This window comes from Homo sapiens, chromosome 15 (assembly GCF_000001405.40).
Source record: "Homo sapiens chromosome 15, GRCh38.p14 Primary Assembly".
In the NCBI taxonomy this organism is placed as follows: domain Eukaryota; kingdom Metazoa; phylum Chordata; class Mammalia; order Primates; family Hominidae; genus Homo; species Homo sapiens.
Window position 1 is genome coordinate 88,313,737 of NC_000015.10, and position 11,621 is coordinate 88,325,357.

Below are 11,621 nucleotides of genomic sequence, written 5' to 3' on the forward strand. Positions count from 1 at the left end.
CCTTTGGGGCAAAGCAAATCTTTTCTGTATCAAAACGATCCACCCTGAATGAAGCTTGTGTTTTCCCCTCTTTCAAGTCAATGAGGTGGTGGAAAGCCTTGCTGGGAGGACTTAGAAAGTCAACCCTGGGAGGGTAAAATAGCTGTACAACAGGCAGAAAGAAAGCATCTTTGAGAGGGTGGGCAAAGTGGACCTTTGTGCTGTGTGTGTCTGAAGACAGTCTAAGGGAAGGGAATGTGATTAGGTTCTAAGCTCCAGGACCAGCAGGTGCCTGAACTAATCCCAATCCCATGCAGCTGTGCAGATGGAAAGCACCTCCAGAGGTACCATTTGAGGATACTATTAATACTTCCTTGGGCATGGAGTGTGAATGAGGGAACATGTAGTGAAAGGGAGATGATATGCAGGGTTGGCAAGAAGAATACCAAGTTGCACTGCAGAATTAATTACCTCCCCAACAGAGCCTGTTGCACCCTGCTGTGGGCTCCCATCATACTGTTTATACTTATGATGGTACATGTTGCAGTCCACCTTATATTATTCTAACTTGGTTTAACACTGCCTTGTCTCTCCACCTACAAGATGAGGGCAGGGTTCACAACTTATCAATGCTCAATGACCCACACACTTGGTGATCTCAAGGATCTGCTAGGAGTAACTGTGGCTTGCACTAGAAATTGGGAGGTGGTCCTGACTGGCCTAGATTGGGATGGTTAGAAGATTTAACAGATCTCTAGCAGGGAGATTAAGATGATGCCAGGCAGGGTTAGCAGAAGGCCAATGGGTCTCTGTATTAGTCCGTTTTTACACTGCTGATAAAGACATACCTGAGACTGAGTAATTTACAAAAGAAAGAGGTTTAATTGGACTCACAGTTCCACGTGGCTGGGGAAGCCTCACAATCGTGGTGGAAGGCAAGGAGGAGCAAGTCATGTCTTACATGGATGGCAGCAGGCAGGCAAAGAGAGAGAACTTGTGCAGGGGAGCTCCTCTTTTTAAAACCATCAGATCTCGTGAGACTTATTCACTATCACGAGAACAGCACGGGAAAGACTTGTCCCCATGATTTAATTACCTCCCATTGGGTCCCTCCCACAACATGTGGGAATTCAAGATGAGATTTGGGTGGGGACACAGCCAAACCATATCAGTCTCCCAAGGTAGCATATGCATCAGTGAATTCATTAGAGTCCAGGATCTGGTCCTCAAACTGAGAGGCTCAGAAACTTGAGGTGTTAACACAGAGAACTGATCTGTCAATTAGGGACAACTCAAATCAACTGAGTTCTTTAGATAGATATATAAACTGGACTCTAACTTATTAATTTACATTGAAAAATACTGTAAGCATAACGGTCATGCATACTAGAGTGCCTGGGTCTTGCCGACTAGGGCAATTTCTCTTGGTCAAAATCCTTCCATCAGCATTTAGACACACTGAAGTCTCTCACCTAAAAAAGAACAATGAACACAATCTAACGCCCCTGGGCCTCACATCCAGTTTCTATCCCCTCTCTCTCTCTCCTCCCTTTCAAAACAAAAGTTCTATAAAGAATTGTTCATTGTCATTGTCTCAGTTTCTCCACTTCCCATTGATTTCTCAATCCACTTCAATATGACATCCATCCAGCAGTGACATAAGTATCTAAGTAACCAAGATACTTAGTTACCAAGATGGCTTGGAAAGCAATCATCCAGCCATAGAGCTTGGCAAGGTCCTACATCCCCCTGCTGGTTGGGAGGTTGACTTTTGCTACTGAATCATGTTGAGGTCTGTAGGTGAGCCAGGGAGAGAGACAATGAACTGGGGCTATGGGGGATCATTCAGGGGGATTGGGGTGGTAGCTATTTACCAACCAATATATAAGTATTTCCACGTGTTCACACAGCATGGCTGTATCATTTGGTATGGTGTGAATACCAGCCTTGCTCCATCACTCCACATAAATAGCTCTTGCTAAGCTCATCAAAGACTTCCATGTTGCTAAATGTAGTAAGGATATTTTTCAGTCCTCATCTTACTTAATTTCTCAACTGCATCTGACTCTCTTAACCATTTCTTTCTTCTTGAAACACTCCTTTCTCTTGTCTTCTCTGGCCTCACACTTTCCTGGGTTTTCTCCTACAATGTGGGCAGCTCTTTTTTAATCTCCTTTTCTAGCACATCCCATTCGCCTGGCTATTGAATGTTGTAATTCCTAAATGCTTGGTCTGAAGCCACCTCTTCTTTCAAGGCTGTTCTTTCTCCCTGGACAATTGTACCCATGCCCATGTCTTCAATTCTAATTTACACACTAATTAAGTTGTATTTTATATTATCAGCCTAGAACTTTCCTCTGAGCGTCAGCTCTAACCACTTCAAAAGCACTTCAGGAGGAGATATTTATGAAACACATATTTGATACAGAACTTGTATCCAGAATACATATTTTAAAACACTCATAACTTGATAATAAGAAAACAAGCCTAGTTTTCTTCGTTTCTTTGTTTGTTTGTTTTTCTTGTTGTTATTGTTTTGAGACAGAGTCTTGCTCTGTCACCCAGACTGGAGTGCAGTGGCATGATTTTGACTCACTGCAACCTCTGCCTCCCGGGTTCAAGCAATTCTCCTGCTTCAGCCTCCCAACTAGCTGGGACTACAGGCATGCGCCACCACGCCTGGCTATAAACCTAGTTTTTAAATAGGCAAAAGATTTGAATAGACACTTTATGTAAGAAGATCTACAGATGGCAAACATGAAAAGATGCCCAACATCATTATTCTTTAGGGAAATGCAAAATAAAATCACAACGAGATACCACTTCACACCTATTGATACAGCTAAAATAAAAAAATATTGACAACACGCGGTGCTGGCAAGGACTTGGAGCAGCTGGAACCCTCATGAATTGCTTGCGGGAATGCAAAATGATACAGCCATTCTGTAAGGCAATTTGGCAGTTCCTTCTAAAGTTAAACATATACTTTCCATTTGACCCAGCAATCCCACTCTATTTGTTACTGCTATTTATCCAAGAGAAATAAGAACACGTGTTTACACAAAACTGTATGTATATGTTTATTGTGCCAAATATTGGAAACAATTCAAATGTGCTTCAACTGGTGAATAAACAAACAAACTGTGATACATCCATGCAGTGAAATAATATTTACCAATAGAAAGGAACAAACTACTAATACATAAAACAACAAGGATGAATTTCAGATGCGTTACCCTAAGTGAAGGGGAAATCTATCTTGAAAGGCTACATACGAGATGATTCCATTTATATGAAACCAGGAAAAAACAAAACTCAGGGATAGGAAACAGATAGTCAAAGAAAAGGGCACCAGGAAACTTTTTAGTGTGATGGGAAACGGGACTGGTTACATAATTCACAAGGTCCAGTGCAAAATGAAAATGTGGAGTCCCTTGTTTAAAAATTATTAAGAACTGAAAGACAGTGACAGGATACCAATACCATTCAACCAAGCGTGAGTTCTTCTATGTGTGGAGCGTGCACAGGTCCCATGCCCAGGAAAAATGCCCTGGATGAAAATGCTGTATATCTTGATGGTGGTATGACTACCTGGTGCTATGCATTTGTCAAAACCCATAAAAACACACTAGAAAGGATGAATGCTGCCATGTGTAAATTAAACCTCAATAAACCTGACATGTTTTTAAAAGACTCTTGTCACGAGGAAACCCCACATTAAAGTGGGCTGAGCTTCATCACACAGATATCACACACATCATCACACAGAAAGACAGGCCTGTACCCTTCAAACTGCACATGAAAGCCAGGGAAACAGTGAGAGAGTGTTTCAGACGCAAGGAGACCAAAATGACTTGGCAACCAAATGCAACGTGTGTTCTTGGACGGGATCTTGGGCCATAAGGAGAAAGGTTGTTGAGATGGTTGATGACATTTGAATGGGATTTGTGGCTTCTTTCCTGATTTGGGGCTTGTGTGGTGGTAATGAAGGACGGTGTCTTTAGGGGAGCATTTAAGGGCGTTGGAACAAATGTGATTAAATGCTAACTACCGGGGAAGCTGAGAAAAGGGAAGTCAAGAGATTTTTGTACAGTTCTTGCAGCTCTTAAGTTTGAAATTATTTCGAGATAAATTATTTCAAAATAAATTATTTTTTAAGTACTTCAAGATCGGCAGGTCAAATTCATGACTAGGAGGCCAAATTCATGACCTCCCTGAAATCTCCACCCCTAGAAGTGATTCTCTTCCAGTTTCCTTATCTCAGGAAGGCCCCACCTTCAAGGGGCTCTGGGAGCCAGAAACTCCCCTGATGCTTCCCTCTTCTTTCCTGACCCCTGCTTACCTTCCAGCCTCATCTGGCCTCCTCTCCCCATCCATTTCTTACCCCTAAGCAGACTGGCCTTCCATCCATCCCGGGGACCACACACAAGCTGTCCCATCCCCAAATGTCACATCCTCAGGAAAGCACCTACCACTACCATCCCAGGTCAGGTCCTGTGCTGGGCACCTTGGAGCCCTCGGACCTTCCCCACTATGGGTGCCTCGCAAGCATTGGTTTACCTGCACCATTCTACGATTCTTCAATCCACATGTGTCTCTCATCACCAGGTTGCATTTCCATGAGGCAGAGCCAGATCTGGTTCTGCTCACTGCCATCCTTGGCACTGTGTTTTACATGAGAGGTGCTCCATAAATATTCGCTGATGGAGCCATGAAGGAGTGAATGAATCCTGGCACATCTATTTGGAGGAAATTGTTCCAGTCAGGTTCAAGCCAGGGCCAAAGGAAGTGAGCTAGTTGTGAGATCAGAAGGCTAAGATACATTTCTGTTAGTTTGCTTTCTCTCTATCCTGGCCCCCGAAATTCTTCTAGGCAGTGCAGCCCCTTTCTGAGGGCTTCTCTTGCCACAGTTGTGCTCGTTTACCCAGCCCTCTAATGATCAAGCTTGACCTGTCCTGTGACCTATCATTTTTGCCTGTCTATTATCCACATTCATATATATATGTACATATATTCTCATGCATATGTGTCTTTTGTGGGGAGTTTAACTGTTACCAGGCCATTGAATTTTCCTTTATTAAATTCTAGGGCACCACATGGCAGGGCGTGAGTTCCAGTGGGAGGCCCCATGCCAGTGTTCCCCTTCTGTTCCCACTCCCAGCTCATTCTCACACCACAAGGAACCTGATGCACTCCAGCCTGTAAGTCCTGCAAAGCCCAACTCTGTCCACAGCCCCAGCACTTGCCCCCGGACACCACATGGGGCTGGACATGCACACACCAGTGAATCCATCAGGGAGAGGTGGGCCAGGAGTAGGAGGCCTACACAGGCCCTGGAAGTAGGCTTGGGAAGTGTGGTCAAGAGGAGAGTGTGGCAGGCAGATCACCTGAGCCCAGGAGTTCAAGACCAGCCTGGGCAACTGGGGTGGGAGGATTGATGGAGCCAGGAGGTCAAGGCTGCAGTGAGCCATGATTGTGCCACTGCACTCCAGCCTGGGAGAAAGAGCAAGACCCTGTCTCAGAATATAAGAGAGTGGGGGTTCTAGTAGGTGTGTCCAACCAGGTCTAAGGGCAGTACCACCATATGCCACTGTCTGTACTTCCTACTGTGGCAGTTTATGTGCTGGTATCTGGTACACTTATTTAGAGGGGAGCCAGGGATCCTGCACAGAAGGTAAGACTGACAGGGCTGGAACATCCATGCCTAATTGATACGGAATGTCGAGGCCCACCTTCATTAGCAGTGAGGTCTGACTATAAGGCATTTTTAAAGATATAAAAGAATTTTAAAAGCATAGGGGCCCAGTCCAACTCCTTTATTTTAAAGAAGAGTTGTAAACTGAGCCTTAAGAAGGCTTAGCTTAGCCTTAGAAGCCTTAAGTGACAAAGCCCCCAAGTTGAGCCTCTAAGTGACAACAATGTGACTGGAACCCAGGGTCCAGATTATCGCTGAGTCAAAACCAAAGTGCTCCTCCTACACCTTTGAATATTCCAAACATGCTCACCCGGGGGGAAGGTATACTGAGGGAGAGGCATCAGTTAAACTGTATGGGCACAGAAGGCCAGGAGTCATGTTGTCCCAGCGCAAATGCTGCCTCTCGAGAGAGGTGGGCGCATGGGGCAAATGAATCTGTCATGCTAAATTTGATGTTTCTCATCTGTAAAATGATGTCATACTTGGCCCGAATTCACCTGGTTCAATTTTGGGAGGATTAAAATAAAGTCTATGCATAGTAGTTAGCATAGCGTCTGACATATAGAAGAAAAGCTGGATAAATGTGAGTCGCTGTATTTTGTATGACGGAAAGGAGAATGATATTAACAAAATATTGCTGGTATCCTCAGGCTCCAGGGAACAGAAGGTTAAGCATGAACTGGAGTTGCCAGGTCCATTATCGGTATAGGAAGAGGCTCTTGAATCTCAAGTACTGTGTTTACAGTTTCCTCCCAAGCATCTTGCTGAGGCAATTAATTTATATCAGCTCTGTTTTCTCTCTTTAATATCTCCCCTCCCCTTAATCAGGCACTCAAGGCACGTTCATCTATTTTGCTAGTCTTCTGGTTTTATTTCTTTCTAACATACATTGTTTTATGTCTTATTAACCATCACTTTCATCTTTATTAATATTCTTTCCCCATTTTCTTTGGGTTTATTTAGTCATTCCTATTTTAATTTCTTCAGATGAGTGCTAAACACCACCCCTTTCTTCGAGGGAAGGTCTTTCTTCATTAGAAGTGAAGGCATTAGTAATGAAGGCGTTTAAGGCTATTAATTTTCCTCTGTAAACAGCTTTCACTGTCTCATAGATTTGGGGACTTGCACCCTGTCTGAAGAATTATTTCTGAACACAAGTAAACTTTTTAAAAAACTGATCACAAATTCAAAATTAATAATTCAAAATTAACAGCTGACATGTTAATGTGTGGCCTCTTGTCCTCAACACTTTCCTTCCTCTCCCCTTAACCTGCCTGCCAGTGTCCATGCCTACACTGTCTCTCCTTGGACTTGGACACTAACCCCTAATGATCTCTGCTTCCAGCTCCTGCTTCACGCAGTTGCTCCTGTGATCTTTCTAATTCAAAAATGCAGCCTCATGATTCCTCTACCTAAAACCCCTCAGCAGCTTTCTCATTACAGGATAATTGTTAGTGCCACACACACCATCCTGTGTCTGAACTCCTGCCCACCTCTAACCTCAATTGCCCTTCCTCCCAGACTCCACGTACCCTTATCCTTCATCCTCCAACAGAACCAAGCAATGCGTGGTGCCCTGTACTCCCAGCTTGGTGCATAGCTCCATCCCTTTGCCATCACAGGCTGCCTTTGCCCACTGTGCCCACTCATGTCTCCCCTGCCAGCCCCTGTGCTGCAACCATCTCATCTGAACTTAGGAGACCCCTGCTTCAGAAGCCTCCCCAGGCACCCTCCCTGCCCCCTGCCTGCTCCATGGCAAAGCGCCCCTCAGCTCCCACAGCCACGTGGACATGGCCCTTGCCTTTTCCTCACCACAGTGCATTGAGATAATCTATCTGCTTGCTTATCTGTTTAACTGTCACTTTACTAATGACCAAACACAATGTTTCCTTTTACCTGGGTCCCTAGTCCTTCACTCTGATGCTGACTCTGAACTCAACTGATAAACATCTCTGAGCCGTGGGCCTCGAGGGTTTTGCAGCTTGGGCTTTGGAAAGAAAACACTCACACGTGCCCAGAGCAGATGCAGATCCCTTTCAGACCTCACACTCTGCCTCTACAGCTGGGAAGGACAACAGGTGGCACTCTCTGGTCTCCAAACAACATCAGGTCCTCCATGACACTCAGACAAATCACTTTTTCATTGAGGCAGATGAGGTTGGTTAAGGCATCTAGATTTTATTGAGCACTCACTATTGGGCAAGAAGTTTTTAGGGGGTACCTTCTTTAATCCTACAAGGTATGATTCCCACTTTCTATAACAGGAAGATTGAGGTTTAGAGCAGTATTTCCCAAACGTTGGTATGCACAGGAATCACCTGGGATCCTATTAAAATGCAGATTCTGGGCAAGTGGCTCACACCTGTAATCCCAGCACTTTGGGAGCCTGAGGCAGGCTGATCACTTGAGGCCAAGAGTTCGAGACCAGCCTGGCCAACACGGTGGAACCCCATCTCTACTAAAAATACAAAAAAAAAAATTAGCCAAGCATGGTGATGGATGCCTGTAATCCCAGCTACTCGGGAGGCTGAGGCAGGAGAATTGCTTGAACCTGGGAGGCAGAGATTGCAGTGAGCCCAGATTGTGCCACTGCACTCCATCCTGGGTGACAGAGTGAGACTCTGTCTTAAAAAAAAAATGCAGATTCTGACTCAGTCAGTCTGGGTCAGGGCCTGAGAGTGTGCATTTCTAAGAGGCTCCCAGGTGATATGGATGCAAAGCCCATAGACCTCCCTTTGAGTAGCAAGGGGTTTTAAAACTGTGTGCCTCCCTCCTTGCCATAGACCTCTAGAGCAGCACTACAGAACTTTCTGCAGAGATGGAAATGTTCTATCTGGGGGTGATGGCTCACACCTACAATCCCAGCATTTTGGGAGGCTGAGGAAGAAGGATCGCTTGAAGCCAGGAGTTCAAGATCAGCCTGGGCAACAAAGTGAGACTCTGTCTTTACAAAAAAATAAAAAATTTAAAAAAGAATTAGGGTGTGGTGGCATACACCTATAGTACCAACTGCTCAGGAGGCTGAGGCAGGAGGGTCACTTGAGCCCAGGAATTTGAGGCTGCAGTGAGCTATGATCACACCACTGCATTCCAGCCCAGGTGACAGAGCAAGACCCTGTCTCTAGGGAAATAAAAAAAGAAAAAAGAAATGTTCTATAGTCTGCAGTGTCCAATGTGGTAGCCACATGTAGCTAGTGTGACTAAGGAATTGAATTTTTAGTTTTACTTTAATTTACTGAAATGTACTTAGTCACATGTGACTCGTGGTCGCCACCATATTGGGTCAGTGCAGCTCTAGACAAAGCCGAGAGGAGGAGGGATTACAGCAAAGAGCTGTGGGAGCTGAAGGACTAGCCTTCTCCCACAGCAGTCCAAAGCTCAGGCCTGGGAGGGCTCAGGGTGGCTAGATTTCAGCCTAGGTGCAGAAGCCACTCTGAGTTTCCAGCTAGCAACTGGGCCAGGGCTCAGGCTGAAGCTGCCCATCTGGACACTGAGAAAAGATGAAACGTGTTTTGCAGCGTGTTGTACTTCCATGAAGCCACCTCCTGCTCCTGAGTGGTACCTGAGAATACATGAGGGACAGAGAGATAAGGATGCAGTGCGGGTCCGTGGCCATCACAGCAGGATGGGGCTGGGAGCACTGTTACTGAACATGTAATAAGTGCCAGGCACTGTTGCAAGCACAGCACATATTGGGTTCATTTTACTCTCTACACCAACAATTTTACCTTTTGTATAGATAAGGCCCAGAGAGGTTAAGAAACTTGCCTGAAATCACATAGCTTGTGAGTGATAGAGCTGTGATTTAAATTCTAGAACTCTGGCTACAGAGCCTTCGCTCTTGACTAAATGCTAAAATTATCAAGGGGGTGGTCTGTCTGGCTTGGAAGTGGTTACAGAAGAAATGTCTAGGCCCTCTGGCATCCCAAGGGGCCAGCAGCTGCCTGAGCATTGTTAAGGGAAATCTCAAAAAGGTTAGGCGAGAGAACTTCTCTCTGCCCTGAGTCCTATGGTGTGTTGTTGGAGTGAAATGGAATCTCTCATCCCATGGTTATCTCCCTCCCCAACTCTCCACTGTTCTCCTCCGGGACCCTTTTCACAACTTGGAGATAGATGGTCAGGTGAGGCTGGAGTGGACTCGTGCCTAACAAGGGCTGGGGCCAGCGTACTGGAGAAGCACTCCACCACTAGTGGAGTGGACCCTTCAGCATGATTTTCAGAGTGCTTACGCCACTTGCTCTAATGAGATAGCAGATCCTGGTAGAGACTGGTTCAGGACCAAGGCCGTCATCACATCATTAGGGTAAGAGGCCTGAGAGGCTGAGCCAAGAGCTAGTGTAGCCTCTTCTCCTGCTCCTCCACTACAGTGGCTCCAGCCCTTGTTAGATACGAGTCCACGGCAGCCTCAGCCGACTCTCTCCAAGCTGCAAAAAGGATCAAGGAGGAGGAAGGTGGGTCAGACAGGGTGATAACTATGGGGCAGGAGATTCCATTTCTCCCCAACAGCACACCATAGGACACAGGGAAGAGAGAGGTTATCTTGCCTGGCCTCTTTGGACCTCCCTTAAGAGTGCTCAGGCAGCTGCTGGCCCTTTAAATGGAGCCAGCTCCCACTGGGCACTCTTAAAGCTCACTTCATTCATGAATTAAGTCCCTGACATCTCGTATCGGTATGATCAATATGTTTGTTTATTAGCAGCAGCTGCTGTGTTTTAGCGAAGGCGGTGAGCCCCCGTGAGAGGGCCGTCGGGTAACCACAGAGCAGGGCCTGGGACAAGGAGGAGAAAGTCCTCCTGCCGGCAAATGGGAGCTGGGGCTGGATAGGGTTTCATGGTAATGGTCCTTTAATCGAAATAACCGGTTCAGTAGGACTGTTTGGTAGGGAGCTGTGCTGATGGCTCCTGGCTGGGTCCCCACTTTAAGAGATCCATTAACTGGTGGCTGTGCTCCCAGCTGCTGGCCTATGCAACCACCAGCAGCGTGGGGGAAGCCGAGCTGCGAGGGTGGCCGCTGCAGGCCATGCTGAAGGGAGGGGGCCTTGAGTTGGCCGCTGTCAGGATGTTAAGACCACGTAGCCTTCTGGCCTGGTCCCAAACCCAAGCTCGGCCCTCCTGTCCCCATTCTGGGTTCATTTTGCCTCAGTGACTCAGGAACCTCATTCCTAGGCTGACTTATGTTTTCCAGAAGAGGAAAGGACTCATCACTTTCCAGTTCTGATATCTCCTCTGCATTGATGATTCAGGGTCTTGCCTCTCGTCCATTTGTCATGCTGGAGGTCCAGGGAATGATCCACAAAATCACTACTTCATTCATCCATGCATGCATGCATGCATTTGGGAAACATTTAATGAGTAACTTCTATATGCCAGGCTCCATGCTGGCTACTGGAAACACAAAGATAAAGGAATGCAGGCATGCCCTGGGGGGATTTCAAGTCTTGTGGGGATAAAACCATGCAAACATTGACAATACCAGAAAATAGTAGCTGGATTGGGAAAATGTGTGATGTACTACGGCAGGTGAAACTCCTAAGTTGGGATGATGGAATGCAGGGAGCTGGCACTGGACCTGAGAGACTCTCCAGTAAATCTACAGGGCCATAAGGCTATTCCATTTCTCCCAGGTCCCCCATTACAGGCTAGACTGGCAGATCTCTTCTGTATTCCATAACATGTGCTGTGTGCTGCAGCCGGGCAGACTATGCAGTGGTCTTCAGCCGGGGGTGATTTGCCCCCCAGGGACATTTAGTAATGTCTAGAGACATTTTTTTATTGTAACATTTTTATGGTGGAGCAGATACCACTGGCATCTAGTAGTAAGAGGCTAGACATCCAACAATGCACAGGACAGCCCCCAACAACAAAGAATGATCTGGACCAATATATCAACAATGCCAAAATTGAGGAACCTAGGCTACGGTTTTGTATTTTATCCTAAGTGAGATGCA

At 46.1% G+C, this 11,621-nt stretch overlaps 1 long non-coding RNA gene across 1 annotated transcript in view; it reads left to right on the forward strand.

Annotated features, from left to right (window-relative positions):
• The window catches only part of LOC105370958 (uncharacterized), a 31,383-nt gene extending 22,842 nt beyond the window's left edge, over positions 1–8,541 (forward strand). The window contains exons 2-3 of the long non-coding RNA XR_932589.2: positions 5,068–5,180; positions 8,458–8,541. This is a non-coding gene — a long non-coding RNA (uncharacterized LOC105370958). The remainder of the gene's footprint in view (positions 1–5,067; positions 5,181–8,457) is intronic.
• The last annotated feature ends 3,080 nt before the right edge of the window (positions 8,542–11,621 follow it).